Below are 17,945 nucleotides of genomic sequence, written 5' to 3'. Positions count from 1 at the left end.
TGTTCAATAGGTACATTAAAAAATTTTTCAGTATTACTAATCTTAGGAAAATGCAAATTACAACCACAATGAGATATAATCTCATATCTGTTAGAATGGCTTTTATCAAAAATAGATGAAAGACAACAAGTGCTGGCAGAATACAGAAATAAGGGATCTCTTGTACATTGTTGGTGTGAATGTAAATTAGTATTGTCATTATGGAAAAATATACAGAGCTTTCTCAAATATTAAAAATTAAGCTACCATATGATCCATCAATCCCAATTCTAGGTATATTTCTGAAGAAGAGAAAATCAGTTTATTGAAGGGATATCTGCACTCCTATGTTTATTGCAGTACTATTCACAATCGCCAAGATGTAGAATCAATTTAAGTGTACATCAATGGATACATAAAGAAAATGTGGTATGTACACACAGTGAAACACTATCAGTCATAAAAAGAAGGAAATCCTGTCATTCGTGACAACACGAATGAACCTGAAGGACATTATGCTAAGTGAAACAAGCCAGGCACCAAAAGACAAATACCACACAATCTCACTACATGTGGAAACTAAAATCACTGAACTTAGAGAAGCAGAAAATGAAATGATGATTACCAGACACTGGGGTATAGGCGGCAATAATGGGAAGATAATAAAAGTCACAAAGTTTCGGATAGATAAGCAGAGTAAATTCTGAGATCTATTGCACAACAGGGTGACTACAGTCAATATTAATGTATTGTATATTTCAAAATAACTAAGAGTAAATTTCAATGTCTTGTCACAAAAAAAATTGATAAGTGAGGCAATGGACTTGCAAATGGATTTCCAATGCTTTGCAAAGCAATGGATTACTTTGCTTGATTTAATCATTCCACATTATATACTTATATTATGACTGTGTACCCCATAATTGTATACAATTATAACTTGTCAATTAAAAGTAATATTGATAAAAAGTAAAAATAAAAATAATAAAAGAGAATGAAGACTAGCCAATGTGAGTCAGCACAGAAGCAATGTAACACTTACACTTTTTTAAAAATATGACTTAAAAGCTATTTTTAAATCATTTAAAAATTTTTTTAAAAAAATTACACAGACCAGTACCACAACTTATATTTCCCTTGATAAGCATGTTAATAGGTCCTAAAAGAGGGATTCTCATCAACACTAGACCCAAACAGTTATTAGACCTACAAATTACTTTTTTAGTTCACTATAGGTTAAGTGCTTAATATCATGTGAAAATGGAATTTATTTAATCTTGAGGACTCAGTTTTTTTTCTGATTTCTTAAAACAATACTGAGTAAAAATAAAAGGTTTACATATTCTAAAAAAGAAGTTCATGTAAAATAAGAACTTATTTTCTTTTTTTTAATGCACAGGTTTTTTTTTATTATATTGAAGTCAGGCAATGGTCTGACAATAAAAAGACTGCGTGTGGAATACTGTTATGTTAAACTTCACTTACAGGATGTCAAATCCTTAGAACTAAGGTTTTCCCCAAGAAAAAGATTAATGGAAACATCAATTGCTTTTCAGACTTGATAGTTGCTGCTTCAAAAAGTGGTTTTACACAAATACTAAAAAAACAAAAAAAACTTTGGTACACAATGAACTGCTTTTAATTCTGTATACACCCACATTTCATCATTTAGTGGTCCTGAACAGAAAGTGGAAAGACGAAGCAATTTGCCAGGAGGTCAAGCCCGCCAATTTCGGGGATCTGCTGTCCACACCAGCTTCTTTCTTAATTCCTGCCGAGGATCTTGAGAAGCAGCAGCAGCACCAAAACCAAGGCATGCACCGGATTCAAGTTTCTTTTTGTTCCAGTTGTCAGATTCCAAACTAGACCCCAATGGATTGCAAGGATGAGCAAATGAAAGCCCTGTTTAAAACTTCTTCGATTTTTAAAAACAAAAGCAATTACAGGCAAGTAAAACAATTCAGAGATCACGTGTGCTTACAAGTGTCTTCATGTGGCCTTTCTCCACGTTCAACCACCAAAGACTCCAAGAGCTGGCTGACCTAAGTAACCCTGGTGACTATTCTTTTCACCTTATCAAAACCTGAGCTAAAAACAATGCATCAGCTGATGAGAGCAGAGGGTGGCAGGGCTGAGGACCCAATCTTCATTTACCAGGCTGGTGAAGAGTGAGTAAGTACGGTCCCAGAACTAATCAAGGGAGGTCAGAGATTCTTTCCAACCTTGCCTGACGGCTTCTGGCCTAAGCAAGGAAGTATCATAGAAGGTGTTGGGTGGTGATAGTGCAAAAAGGAACTTGAGGAGGGAAGAAAAAGCATCACCCCTCGATAAAGGTGGAGGAGAGAAGATATGCCAAAAGCCCTGAATTCCTTACCAAAGGCCAATCTCAGAGGGGAGTAGAGGGGTTACAACCTATGCTTCAGCCAAGGGCAGGAGTAGAGGAGCACGGGAACAGGATGATGGCTTGGAAGGGGCATCATTTAAGAGTTAAAGAAACCAGGGGTGCAGGCAAAGCACCCCACACACCCAGCTGCAGTCCTACAGGCTGCAACCTGAAACCTTCACATCTACTCTATCAAGCCCCCTGGGCTAGAGGGCTGTTGTTGCACGGAAGGTGGGAGGCAGGAGGGTAAGGGAAGAAGGCAGAGACCCCAGGCCGTGTAATCAGCAGCAAGGTGATTGTGTGATGTGTCTTTTCACAGTTGAGTTAGATGTGCCCCACCAGTTATGATGGGAATCAATTTAAATACACTTTCTTGATCCCAGAAGTTCAACTACATGGACAGTGGTTACACTTGACAGGATGATTTATTATAGCACAACTTATATATTTCAAATGGACAAAAAAAAGTAACATTTACAGTATGTTAAGATAAATTTCCTTTGAATGGGAGCTTCCTTTCCAGTACTTTGAGGTCTACAAGACGTATCTAGAAAATTTACTACTGTGGAAAATGAAGACTACTTAAATTGAATGGGGGGAAAGGGGAAGGGCCTGTGGTTTTTCTTTTTGATTAATTGCTGTAATACTGTTTATTTTCTTTAGACATCATTAGGCACCAAAGCTCTTGCAAGACAACTTTGATGCTATATGAATTCTGCCATTTTGCTAGCCCTGACATGGCTCTTGAATCCACCATGCCATCAAAGCTATTAACTCCATTCATATTAATTTTTCTTACAAATCTCACAATGGGCGGTGCTTCTGAGTATTTAGGTCCACATTCTATTTTAAGGCTGTATATTTGGCTTTCCTTTTTTTTTTTTTTTTTTTTTTTTTTTTTTTGAGACGGAGTCTCGCTCTGTCGCCCAGGCTGGAGTGCAGTGGCACAATCTTGGCTCACTGCAAGGTCCGCATCCCGGGTTCACACCATTCTCCTGCCTCAGCCTCCCAAGTAGCTGGGACTACAGGCACCTGCCACCACACCCTGATAATTTTTTGTATTTTTAATAGAGACGGGGTTTCACCGTGAGCCAGGATGGTCTCCATCTCCTGACCTCGTGATCCACCCACCTCGGCTTCCCAAAGTGCTGGGATTACAGGCGTGAGCCACCGCGCCCAGCCTATATTCGGTTTTCATAAATTGTTCTTGGAGGTCCAATTATCATTCCTGTCCGTCTTGTAAATGTCAAATCTTCATCATCTTCTAGATCCTAGCTAACCGTGCCATCTACTCCTTTCTGGCCTTCAAGTTTTTCCAACAGTCGGAAATTGAGAGGGACTTTTACTCCCAAGCCTGTGGTGGCTGCCATCTTGCATCCCTGTCCAAGAACTTATTTTCAAAAATGTATTAATAGCACCTGAGGCATCAGAAATTTAACTTCAGCTATGTCAATTTTATTCAGAAAAGTTGACACATTAATCTATTTCTTTAAATGTCACACAAGTTGGATGTTAAAGGGGACTTTTTTTTTTAATGTGGCTACTGTAAATCCTTATAAAGCTAGTTTTAAAAAAATCTAATCTATAAGTTTAGCCATCACAAGTTTCCATGAGTGAAACTGCTTGGCCATTGCTATTTCTTCACAATAGTTTCTTCCAGTGTGATATACAAAAGAAATTCATGCTTTAAAGTGATTCTCAATTTTTATCTGCAGATTCTCACCCACATTTTAAATAAAATGCCAAAGTGGAAACTTCTCAGAAATGAAAATGAAAAGCAAGAAGTCCAAAAGGTGACCTCTCCATGTAACATTTAAAATGAAATCTGTTTATTCGACAGATCTATGCCTTCACTTCCTTCCAAGGCTGTATGTTATTAGAATTTTTCATGCAGCCAAGACCTTTCCTATTCAGCAGCTTTCCATTTCTTCACGTTAACCTTTTCTCTGAAGCAGGACCATGCACGTTATCACAGCCAGGGTACTGAAGGAAGCTTCATAGAGATTTATAATGGAAGGGACTTGGCACTGCTTGTCAAACCAGCCAAGTCGTTCCTCTTTGCTGCTCATCAAGGAACAGTAAGGGCTCTTCCAGACAGTCCAGAGCAAGGTGCAACAAGCCCACAGTTAGCGTCTCTGGGGAAATTGGACAAATACAAATGAATCTTTGCCCTTGGCTGAACTTGGTATTGAATGGTTACTGAGTAGTAACAGCATGACAGCCATCCCAAACTAAGAGAAAAATATTATTAGCCTGTTTCATTCTACAGAGAAAAAAGTTCTTCAGTAATCACTCTTCTGGTTTTAATGTAATAGCAACTGAATATATAAATGGAAGGTAAACAATGGCAAAATCAAATATGTAGAAACTTATTTTAGCAGAAAAGAATGAATTCTGTAAACATGAATTGATATTTTATCTGAATAAAAAAAAAAGAAGGCCGGGCGCGGTGGCTCACGCCTGTAATCCCAGCACTTTGGGAGGCCGAGGCGGGCGGATCACGAGGTCAGGAGATCGAGACCATCCCGGCTAAAACGGTGAAACCCCGTCTCTACTAAAAATACAAAAAATTAGCCGGGCGTAGTGGCGGGCGCCTGTAGTCCCAGCTACTTGGGAGGCTGAGGCAGGAGAATGGCGTGAACCCGGGAGGCGGAGCTTGCAGTGAGCCGAGATCCCGCCACTGCACTCCAGCCTGGGCGACAGAGCGAGACTCCGTCTCAAAAAAAAAAAAAAAAAAAAAAGAAGACATATGTTTGAGTTAAGTGACCTACAATAATAGAATTCGTGCCTCTGGATAATTAACCGCACCAATAGCTACTATGAACTCTCAATGAGCCCCTGGTAATTTTATGAAAATGTGGTTTATGAAGGGTGAATGTGTGTAAGAATGACACTAGTCTCCATTGCTGAAATATGGTGAACCCTGAAGATTGCATATTGCAATAGAAATGACAGGAACGTACATGTCATTACACACGTCTTCCCTTGGTAAGCTTCTTCCTGTTCCTTAGTGTTCTCCCAGTATGCCATGGGGCATTTTCCCACCTGTGAGAGTTGCTTTATCTCATCTCATGACCTCTTATAATAAAATAAAGTTCAAAATCACAGGAGATTTGGGTCCTGGATGACTCATCCAGGACATAAATCTAGGTCTTGCATTCTCTGAAGCTTGTGCCCTTCTACTACTCTGAAATCAAAGGACAAAAGCCAGAGTTGTATCCCACATGCAATTGGTACCAACCCACTTGATAGCAGTGTTCTGTAAATGAAAATAAAATCTACCCAACCAATCTAAAATTCATTTCAAATATCTCCACATTAAATTCACACGTAAGCTATTGATCTCCATCATAGCATTTTACAGCTGCATTAATGAGTTCTTTTAAATTTTGTTTCACTCACGTAACATTAAAGCTATATCTTTGTTTAGCACTCCTTCTTCATAATCAGTAAAAACTGACTGAAAAATATATTCCATCAGGTGAATATCTTCATGATTTGATAATTTTTTTATATGGACTCATCTCTTTAGTAAACAATATATCTTAGTTTCTGATCTACACTAAAGGTATACAAGATACAATGCATACAGAGCCAAGTATCTAGCCAAATCTCCCAGACTGCTCAGAGGCCCTCGTTTCAGGCTGTACGGGGAATTGAAATTGGAGAAAGGAGAATGTCACTTACAGTGCCGTTCATCACTGCTATCCCCACACTGATCTGTGAAGTCACAAATGCTGTCAGGAGGCAAGGAGACTCCATTGTCACACTGAAAGCTTTCTGTCCCTTGCTGAGCCAGTGTAGAATTGAAAACACAGGCAATCCAAAGGCAACAAAAAGTTTCATTCATGGGGAATGCCAACATTCTGTCCAGGAAGAAGAGCATTACTTGGTATTGTCTATTAGAGATCAAGCAGTTGTAATAAGTAAGTCCATCATTGGAAACATTCTTTTATTTCTCTATTCTTCCTTTCCCAGATTTGCTTCTTATAACTGGATACTATTGGTAACTATCTGCAACTCTAACAAATTACTCCCCAGGCAGTTAATTTGCTCTTTCAAAGGAGTGACTTTAGAAAATATTTAACTTGAGTAATTACGCTGGTTCTTTATCTAGCTAACTATAGATGATTATTGCCCCCTGTATGCCATATTTACACAATTTAAGCCTTTATGGTCTTGCTATCTCCTGAAAGACATTTGTAAAAAATAAAGGCCAGCTAAATAAACAGCAGGGGAGAGGCAACCACAATAAAGCTATAAATTACATAAAAATGGTCTGTCTTAATTCCTATACTCAATCACATTTGTGTAATTTAGAACATTATTGTGGACACTAAAACATATTCAAAATTTCAGGCCCAATTATTAGAATTGCTCTATGAAAATAAAATGCTTTTCCATTATTATGAAATAGAAAACTCACCTTGCTTGTTTTTGTCTTCTTTTGTTTGTTTGTCTGTCTATAGCCCATGGGTGCTAGTAAGTGCTTCTTGAGATAAATTAAGAACCATAGATTTTTAAAAGTTGAGGGGACATTGGATGTTATTATTTTATAAATCATATAACTTCAACCCAAGGAAGTTATGAGATATATGTGAGAAAATACAATAAGTTGGTATAAGAAATTAGAGCTCAAATATCCTGCTGCTAAGAACAGTGTTCCCTCTTCTATAGCACAAGAATTCACCTGTCAATTCATCACGATTTACTTTTACAAGTGAAACACCTGATTTCAGGATGCATATTCAGAATGAACAATATATTGAAGTTGAGATCACACAGACATAATAATTACATAATCTTATGAGCGTGAATATTATAGAAATTATGTGATGTTGAATGTTCTATACATTGCTTTATATTTGATTTCTTAAGGGGATGTTAAAGTTCTTTTTCAACTATTTTATTTTAATTTCTGCAGTGTAACCGCAAGAGGCAAAAATAACCGGAGAATGTAGAGTGGAAAGGAGCATAGACCAGGGGCAGAAAAGGCATCTGAGCATTTTTTTAAATGTTCTAAGAATTACCCATATTGTAGGGGAAAAAGTATATACATACATTTTGTGTAGACATTCTGGATTCTGGGGGGCAGGGGGACAGGAATCCACAATTCTGCCTTTCCTCTGAGCACTCCACATAATCTAACATTTTGTTGCACTGTGCTTCAGCCCTGTTTCATATATTTATTCTTCTTACCCCTCTGTTTTGCAAACAAATACTAATAAATCCTTCATCTACCTCTTTTTCTTTGCTTGTCCCTTAAATGCTGACTATCCTTATAGTTCCATTTTAAGTTCTCCTTTCTCCTAAGATTATATTAATAAATTTTTTCTAGGCTCTCTCTTCACTCTCATGATTTCAAGTAAGATCTCTTTATTTTTGTTTCCTCAATCTCTTCTACAATCCTGATATGCACTTCTTCCTGAGAACACGCAGACACACACACACACACACACACACACACACCTAATTAACACATCTACTTTTATAGAAAACTAAACTCATTTTCCTTTCCCCCACCGCCAACCAGCTCTTACTCCCATGTTCCATATTTCAATGAATGGTACCTTCTTCTGTCCAATTACCCAAGTAAGGAACCTGTAGATTGTTCCTGGACTACTCTCACCTATCCTACCTATTAATCACCCTGTCTGGTATTTTCCATATTTCCGTTGAAGACTCTATCCATTCTCATCTCAGCATGTTTCTGGTACTCACAACTCATTTCCTAGTCTTAGAGTAGAGTGATCATTCTAAAGCACAAATCCACTCCTATCTATTTCCCTCTGAAATCAGTAGAACTGTCATACTCTGAATGTAGCTTACAAACACAGCTTACCCTGCAAGGCTCAATGCTTCCCTATGCTCTCCAGCACAGCCTTACTGAGTGACTGTGCTGGCAGTTTTCTAAACATGCCATCTCTCAACTCCAGATCTGAAATCCCTTCCCCACCCCAATCACCAGGTTAATCATTATTCTTTATTTTTCATCTTAGGAGACTTCCTCTAAGATATCTTGGCTGATTTACCCAGGCTGAGTTACGTTTCATTCCTAGGTTCTCTTGTAGCCCTCAATACTCATTCTTAGCACCTGAAGGTCCAGTATGGTCAGTGTCTCCTCATGTGATTTCTTCACTATCCTATGAGAATGCAGCAGACTGTGCATTAGATCTCTAGACTTGTTCATTCTACATACATGCTACGTTGTATCCTATGAGCTACATTTCCCCATTTTCTTCCCCTGATCCCGATAAACACTGATTTGTTTTCTACATCTGTATATTTGATTTTTAGACTCCACATATAAATGAGATTATGCAATATTTTCTCTGTGTGTCTGGCTTATTTAACTTAGCATTGTGTCCTCCAGCCAGGCTCATTTACATTGTGGCAAATGCCAAAATCTTGCTCTTTTCAAGGGCCAAATAATATTTCATTGTATATATCTACCACAATTTCTTTATCCATTCATGTCTCAATGGACACTTAGGTTGTTTCCATATCTTGGCTTGTGAGCAAGTGCAAAGATCTAATGTACATATAATCCCAGCACTTTGGGAGGCCGAGGCGGGTGGATCGTGGGGGCAGAAGTTCAAGACCAGCCTGATCAACATGGTGAAACCCCATCTCTACTAAAAATACAAAATCAGCCGGACGTGGTGGTGTGCACCTGTAATCCCAGCTACTCAGGAGGCTGAGGAAGGAGAATCACTTGAACCTGGGAGGCGGAGGTTGCAGTGAGCAGAGATCATGCCACTGCACACCAGCCTGGCAACAGAGCAAGACTCTATCTCAAAAAAAAAAAAAAAAAAATCTAATGTACAGCATGAGTACTATAGGTAATACAATTATACTGTATATGGGGTTCATGCTGAATGAGAAGATTTTAGCTGATGTTTCCATACCCATACACACAAGAGTAACGGTGAGATGCTGAATATGTCTATTTGCCTCACTATAGTAACCTTCTTATGTTCTATATGTATTCCATAACATCATATTGTGCATCTTAACCACACATAGTAAAATTTTATAAGATGGCAAAATATTACAATAAATATATCTGACTTTGAAAAAATCAGATATTTGCTTGTTTTTTTCCCCTTAAATATACGATTGTTAACCTATTAAATTTCTTCTGTTTCAGTGTGAAAATTAAAAAAAAAAAAAGATGCAGCAGGATTTTGACTTTTTCACTATTGAATCCCCAGGTGCCAGCATAGTAGCACAGTATCCTGGCAGACAGCAGTTACTCAAACAATTCAATTCAATTGTTAATTAAATGAAATTAATGAGGGATTACCATCATATCAACTTTGCTAGGCACATGTAAATAATGCAATAAAGATGTGAAAATTTTAAATGTCACTAGGTAAAAGATATACAATTCTTATGTTCAGTGTTGCTTTTCCATGTCTAACTCTTTTTAAAGACCCTTTAGGTTTTGAAACTGCAATTTTGTATTACAGTGGCAATACACCCCATCACCCCTCAACACTAAACAAGTCAGCGATTATATCAGGAGAAAAGTCATGTCAAGTTTTCCTCTTTAAGAAAGAAAGGAAGGAAAGGAGGAAGAAAGAGAAAAAGAAAGAAATAAAAAAGAATAAAGAGGGAAGAAGAGAGAAAAGAAACAAAAGAATGTAAGGAAGCATGTGAAGAAATAGAAACATTTCAATTTTACATCCTTATTCTAAATTCAGGTCTCATAACATTTTTCATTTGGAAAAAAAATTCACGTATTTTGTTGGTGTCATAGCTGTTTATTGCCTAGTTTCAGCCAGTAAACTGCTTTATTAACTGTTACTACCTACTAAAAATTACATTTCTCTATGGTGTTTCAAGTGTCATTCATCATTTAGACAAGAAATGAACTGGAATGTGGCTCCCAAAGTAACTCAGTATCATCCAGTAGTATAATATTTTATAACACAAATTTATATTTTGTTTCCAAAAGATAAAATTATTTTCCACTGATAAATCTTTATTACTTTTTCTCTAAATGTATCAGAAGGGGCAAGGAATAAAGAAATACTGATAGCACCTAGGGTTGTTTTGATGCAGTTTATTGAGGAAGAGGAAAAAAGCCTGATTGGATTCTAGGGCCCTAACACTGTGCTGGCTGCTTCATAAACATTGTCATTATGTCTGATGTTTCCTCCTTTATTGTTCCCTTTTTTACTTTAAAAACTAATGTTCAGGCCGGGTGCGGTGGCTTACGTCTGTAATTCCAGCACTTTAGGAGGCTGAGGCAGGCAGATCACTTGAGGTCAGGAGTTCGAGACCACCCTGGCCAGTATGGCCAAACCCCGTCTCTACTAAAAATACAAAAATGAGACAGGTAAGGTGGCGCACACCTGTAATCCCAGCTACTCAGGAGGCTGAGGCAGGAGAATAGCTTGAACCTGGGAGGCAGAAGTTGCAGTGAGCTAAGACTGCGACACTTCACTCCAGCCTGGGTGACAGAGCAAAACTTCATCTCAAAAAGAAAAGAAAATGAGCAACTATTTTATGCTAAATATTGGAGATAGGTAAAAGGAAGACAGAAGAGATACAATGAATAATAAAGCCATGTCCCTGACATTAAAAAATTTCAAACATAGGGAAGGATGTATAAAGGCACTTACAAAATGTGTACACACATTACTTCTAGTTTTGGCAAGAATGGTTGATTACATTTTCTATTTTTAAAAAACCCAACTATCTAACTACAGAAAATCTATATGTTGGATGGAATGGGATATAAAATGCTCTTAAATATATAACCAAGTTCTGAGCTTGCAAAATATAAAGCCAATTTCCAAAGCTGAAAAGGAGATTGGAGGATATAGAGGCGACACAAAAGAGAGTTTATTACTAAAACATCATGTTCAAGAATATTTTAAAGAAAATTCCAGGATTAATGTAAAATAAGCATTGAATAAAGGTTTGAGATGCAAGAAGAAATGATGACTAAAGCCTGAAGACACATTTGCAGATAAAAGAAATCCAGACCCCTAAATCTTAAAAGATGAACTGGGAACTGTGATAAAAGGACTTGAACCCGCATAAATGAAGAATTAGAATGAATATCTTTGCATAAAGCCAGAGGAAGAATTTGCTATGGAAAAATTCCTGGCACCTTCAACAAGGCCCTTCAGAACTCCTATAAATTATGATCATCTAAATAAGAGCTCAAGTGAAAAATTAACTGGTATACAGGAAGGAAGCCTCTATGACTCAGAGGCAAAACAATCAAACGAGCAGAGGCAGAAGTAGACACTCAAAGTTGTCCACTGGCATTGTGAGATAGAGAATATAAAATAACTATCAAATATTCTAAAAGATTAAATTGTAAAATTATGCACAATGAACAATAAACTAACAAAATAACCAACCGCAATTTTGTTAAAGAATAATTAAAAATATAACTATAGAAAAGAAAAATAACAAAGAAAAAATAGAAGTGAATACAGAAAAAAATCGACGTGAATATAGCATTTAATGAATTGCAAGGTAGATACAAATAAATTACATGAAAGGCAATAGAGATGTATAGAAAATATTAAGCATATATAGTTTAAGAAACCTGGGACCTAAGCCTGGCACTGTGCCTCGTGCCTGTAATCTCAACACTTTGGGAGGCCAGGGCGGGTGGATCACCTGAGGTCAGGAGTTTGAGATCAGCCTGGCCAACATGGTGAACCCCATCTGTACTAAAAAATACGAAAAATTAGCTGGGCATGGTGGCAGATGCCTGTATTCCCAGCTACTTGGGGGTTGAGGTAGAATCGCTTGAACCTGGGAGGCAGAGGATGCAGTGAGCCAAGATCTCACCATTGTACTCCAGCCTGGGCAACAAGAGCGAAGCTCCGTCTCAAAAAAAAAAGAGAAAGAAACCTGGAACATAGAATGACAGGTCTAACATATGACTACATGACTACATAAAGTTGACGGGGGAGATTAAGGAGAAAATAGGGAGGGGCAATATATATTAATTATATATATAAATATATATATTAATTATAAATCATATGATCATCAATATATTGATTGATATATAAATAATATATGACTTATATGAATAATATATATGTGAATATATAATATGAATATATTATTAATAAATGATACTCTATTAATATATAAATGGAATTAATGAAAATATAAATTTTTCAGAAATTAAGAAAACATGCACTCTAAGAATCAGAGTACAGAAGAAATTGAAAACATATGCAGCTAGATATTTTGTAGTTAAACAGAAAAATTACCAAGAAAATAAAAATTCTTAAAATCAATTAGGGAGACAAAACATATTACCTACAAAAAAATATTATTTAGACCAGCAATTAACTTCTCAACAAGAACAATGCAAGCAAGCAGATGGTGGAATTATGTTTCCATAGGGATGATTAAAAAATTACACTTGGACTTAAACTGAGCAGCAAACTAAGTGTTTAGTCATAATAGGGAACAAAATTAAGAAATTTGGGGACAATTAAAAACTGAGAATGTTATTCACAATACCAAAGACATGGAATCAACTGAAATTCCCATCAATGACAGACTGGATAAAGAAAATGTGGTACATATACACCATGGAATCCTATGCAGCCATAAAAAGGAATGAGATCATGTCCTTTGCAGGACCCGAGCAGATCTGGAAGCCATTAACCTCAGCAAACTAACCCGGGAACAGAAAAACAAACACTGCATGTTCTCACTTATAAGTGGGAGCTGAATGATGAAAATACACGGACACAGGGAAGGGAACAACACACACTGTGGCCTGTTGGAGTGGATGGGGGAGGAAAAGCATCAGCATAAATAATTAATGCAAATGGAGCTTAATACTTAGGTGATGGGTTGACAAGTGCAACAAACCACCATGGCACACGTTTACCTACATAACAAACCTGCATATCCTGCACATGTACCCCAGAACTTAAAACAAATAAAATTAAATAAATTAAATTTTTTAGAAATCTGAGAGTGTTTTTTCCCAACAGCCCCTAATGAATATGTTTTAAATTCTGCATCAAACAAGAATGCATGCAAATAAAATACTAGTTTCTAAAACTAGATTCGAAATATCTCAAAGACCCAGTATTACACAGATGACATTTCTCTGATAGCCATGCCATTCAGTGCAAAACCAGAAAATAAAAAAAGAAATTTAAAAAAACATAAAAGTGAAAAATTTAGAAAGCAAAAAAATATGTAAGTGATAAGGCATTTTGTACAGACCTCCTGGGAGTGTGAGCTATCTGCTTTTGGAATTTATTTGAGACTTCATGGCCTGTTTAAGACTGGTATATACTGTTTTACTGAACCTTGTATCACTCCATTGATGATGGAGTGCTGCTTGGCACACTCAAATTTATAGCTTGGTGTATCTTATTACATTCCATTTATTTTGAGCAGCTCAAGTTGCAAGATCATTAGTGCCTCGTGGTGAGGAGTTTAGTCGCTATCTGAACCCAATAGCTATTTCTCAAGAGAACAACTATTTGCTGGCCTTGCTCCAAAACTTGAATGGGTCTTGAAAAATAATGGAGGATTATTAAAAGCATAATCAGATTGTGACTCTGAAAACAGGTGCTCTCCCAATCATAGTTTCTTTACTGAATACATTGGCAAAGGCCCCGTACAGCTATCAATATGGAAGATGTATTGACTTATTTATTCCAATAAGGAGAGAACTCTAGAAATTTTTTTTCAGTCAAGAAGACATCAATATATCTTCACTATCTTAATTCAGAGCACTAGCAGCTCGCCTCCACTGAGTCACATGTAGTGTGCAGTTCTTTCAGTGCCTCACCTGCGGGACAGGGCATTTGCTCCTCCTCTATAGACACAGAATTTTTATGACAGCTTCTAGTAAGCATGGATTAGCAGGTTCTCTAAATACCTAAGCATGGATTAGCAGATTCTCTAAATTGGTGGAAGCCATATATAAGAGGGGTATATAAACCCTGTGGATATATAGGGTTCTGACACTTTCATGAATTTACTGGGAATGAAGATAACTCTCAAAGTAAGATGATTTGCTGTATCATATACTCCTGGGAATGTCAGCAGCGTACGCTGGGCTTCTGCTTCCCCAACTGTTCAACTATGGCTTGATTCTAACCCTTCCCAAAGCTTCTCTGACCCCTCTCTAGTTGTCAGGAGCTTTCAGTTTTAGTTTTTTGTTTTGTTTTGTTTCTTGTTTTTGCGTTTTTTTTGTTTTTTTTTTTTTGTTTTTTGAGACAGAGTCTCACTCTGTCACCCAGGCTGGAGTGCAGTGGCGTGATCTCGGCTCACTGCAACCTCCACCTCCCAGGTTCAAGCGATTCTACTGCCTCAGCCTCCGAAGTAGCTGGGACTACAGGTGCGTGCCACCATGCTGGCTAATTTTTGTATTTTTAGTAGAGACAGCGTTTCACCATATTGGCCAGGCTGGTCTCAAATTCCTGACCTTGTGATCTGCCCACCTCTGCCTCCCTAGATTTTTTTTTTAATTCACTCCATCCCTATATTGATTAACCAAAATGTTAACAATGGAATGGCCCAGGAATGGCCCAGTTCTTCTTTCACCAAGCACCAAAATGTAATGAATCAGGCCAGTATATGAATAAATCAGTGCCTCATTTGGCATGCCAGCCCCATGAGCTCTGTCACTGGCTATCCCATACAGGGATGGATCTGGTGTGAGGGTTCCTCTGTGGCCCTCTGTTGAGCAGTCTCAAGAGACAAATCCTTCTCTAGTCAAAAGCATGGCCTTTGTGAGAGCAGAGGCTATCATCAAAGCAGAAGGGGTCAGAATACCCCTTATTTTGGCTCCAAGTTCACCTTTCAACTTATCCCTTTTTTATCCATTTATTTATTGAGGTCACTGGAAAGAAAAAAATTGGAGGGGCTTATGAAGCTGAACACCTTCTTTTAAAAACAGCGCAAATATCTTCAGAAATACCCATAAATAATTTGAATATTGAATTAGCACTGAGTTACCATTGACATAAAGCAAAAGGAAGTTGCATTGGGCCAATATCACAATAATTACTATGAAACTTCCCAGGAGTCATTAATCGAAGCGTTTTAACATTAGGGAGGCTGCTTGCATTGCCTTCTATACCTTCTTCTAAGTTATCTGCCTGAATAACTCCCGCTCATTCCTCAAGGCTCAACTATCATAACATCCTCAGAAAACCATTCCTGACTTCTGCTACCTCCCACTTTGTTTGTTTGTTCCCATAATAGCCAGCTTACCTTTCTGCTATAGACTGCATCTTGGTGGTTGGCTTCAGTGTCCAGTTCCTACTTCAAAACTGTGACCTCTTTAGAGCTTTATTTATTGTATTTTTTATAATTTCCGTTTTTATTTTAGGCTTGGGAGTGCATGTGCAGATTTGTTACATGGGTATATTGTATGACACTAAGATTTGGGGTATGAATGATTTTACCACCCAGGTAATAAGCATAATACCTAATAGTTTTTTAACCCTGCCGCCTCCCTCCCTCCTATGGTAGTCTCCAGTGTCTACTGTTGTCATCTTTATGTCCACGAATACCCAATGTTTAGCTCCCACTAATAAGTGAGAACATGCAGTATTTGATTTTCTGTTTCTGCCTTAATTTGCTTAGGGATAATGGCCTCCAGCTGCATTCATATTGTTACAAAGGACATGAATTCCTTCTTTTTACTGGCTGCATACTATTCCATGGTGTATATGTACATTTTCTTTAACCAATCTGCTGTTGATGAGCACACAGGGTGATTCCCTGTCTTTGCTTTTGTCAATAGTGCTGTGAGGAACCTATAAGGGCTTTATATTATGTTTTATCTTTTTATCTCCACTGCTAAGTATATATTATTCACCACATATTGGTGCCCAATAAATATTCATTAAATGTACACACAAATGAATAAATGTTATATTATAAAAATGATTGCCTCTAATTATCAGTGGCATTTTTTATTTGTTTATTTGAGTACCTCTGCAGCGCATATTTCTCCTTTTGGCAATAACATACTGATGTTTTTCTTTGAGAAACCACCCAAGCTGGTTTTAAGCCCCTAGGTGGTTTCACAGGAGTTGGAGGTGTTAGCACAAGTCTTAGTCAAGAGCAGTCAGGTCTATGCATCTTCCTGGCCTTGGTGATTGGTTCAGAGATAAGCATGTGACCCAAGGCAGGCAAAGGAGGAGCAGTTCCCGGGTGTCAGAAACTATCATAGAAGAGGTGCTCTCCCCTGCTGACCTGGCTAAACTAAGACAATGTGGCCAGATCTTCCAGTGGCCCTCTTGGGCACCATTTGGGAAGACTCTGAGAGTGAGGCAAACACAGATGCTAGCTGAGTCAGGAGTCGAAGATGAATAAATTCCTATTGACCCTGCATAAGCCTCTAAATACAGCTATGCCTAAAGCTGAATTTATACCCGAGATTCTTCACTTACACAAGCTGATTTTGTGACTGATTTTCTCTTCCTGTCAACCAAAAATATCTGAACTAATACATACAGTTTATTTTGTTTTAATATATTTGATGTTTATTTTGAATTTAATAAAGTATAAATTTTGAACTTAAGGGGGAAAATGTATATTTTAACACAGATCTTTTCTAACGTCTACTCTTTCTCTACTCAATTTGTTTTAAGAAAGCTTTATTCTATAATTATTAAATTTAAAGACATATTTTCTAAAAATTATCATTAAACCACCAACTACCTCATGATTTTTGATATAAAGCTACTTAAAAGAATGTTTTATGTAAGATAAATTTTCAGCAAACTAAAATGAGAATGCTGACAGCAGCCTGACGGTATTGTTGGAAAGTCATAGGAAATCCTAGTCTGATTGTTGGAAATAAAATGTCTCTGTTGGAATTTAAAAGTGGTTCTTTAATAGAATAAGGTGGTAGAGAACCTAAGAAATATAACAAATGCAAGATGGAAGAAATAGGTTCTTCTCCATTTAGGGTGTAGTCTATGTAATAGTTGTTCTCATTATGAACAGGGTGGGGGCAAGAATGGGTGGGGAATCACACAGTTGAGGCTGAGCAACCAGCCAGTGTTCATCGACCCATAGATCATAGAAGAAGAGAAATTAGCATACATGACGTTCAAGTGTAAGCATTGGGATCTCATGCCAAAACAGCAAGCAGACTTAAATGAAAGACACCCCAGAGTTCCCACAATCTGAGACTGCACACCTATATAACCGCTGGGATGGGAAAGAGGAGAAAGCAGCCACCTACAAGATTACTTTATCTGAGTTTACCTCACTTATTTAATTCTGTATCAAATTATGAATGGTACACAGGGGAAGAACACTCTCTGATTTAGTATGATAGATATTCCCAGGTAAAACTCTACACCAAACAAAGCTGGCAGTTTAGGAAATCTTTAACACTGGCAATGACTGTTGCCTTGTTTAGAAAAGGAATCCTACTTAAAGTGAAATTCACGCAAGTGTATGAAATGTTGAAAAAGCGTTCTAAATAATTGAAAAGAATCTCACCCTGGTCTTCTTGCAATTGTTTCATTTTTATAGCTAAATCACATATGCAGCTCTAATACAGCTCCATTGTTCCAAATAAGGGTTGTTAAATATATATTAT

At 37.4% G+C, this 17,945-nt stretch overlaps 1 protein-coding gene and 1 pseudogene across 7 annotated transcripts in view; both read right to left on the bottom strand.

Moving 5' to 3' along the window:
• MALRD1 (MAM and LDL receptor class A domain containing 1) overlaps positions 1–8,260 on the bottom strand; it is a 687,552-nt gene extending 679,292 nt beyond the window's left edge. For 5 of the 7 annotated variants that reach the window (XM_011519453.3, XM_011519455.3, XM_017016183.2 and 2 more), the window contains exons 1-2: positions 7,424–8,260; positions 6,050–6,228 (exon numbers count right to left, since the gene is read on the bottom strand). In XM_011519453.3, the coding sequence (XP_011517755.1) occupies positions 6,050–6,228; positions 7,424–7,503 (259 nt within the window). In that variant the 5' untranslated portion in view covers positions 7,504–8,260. Of the gene's footprint in view, positions 1–6,049; positions 6,387–7,423 lie in introns of those variants that run through there. The other 2 variants (XM_011519454.2, NM_001142308.3) reach the window with 2 other exon arrangements.
• UBE2V2P1 (ubiquitin conjugating enzyme E2 V2 pseudogene 1) lies at positions 3,015–3,732 on the bottom strand (annotated as a pseudogene).
• Positions 8,261–17,945: the final 9,685 nt, after the last annotated feature.

Source organism: Homo sapiens, chromosome 10, assembly GCF_000001405.40.
Source record: "Homo sapiens chromosome 10, GRCh38.p14 Primary Assembly".
Classification (NCBI taxonomy): Eukaryota; Metazoa; Chordata; class Mammalia; order Primates; family Hominidae; genus Homo; species Homo sapiens.
Note: the sequence above shows the minus strand (reverse complement) of the source record. Positions and strands in the feature narration are given on the sequence as shown.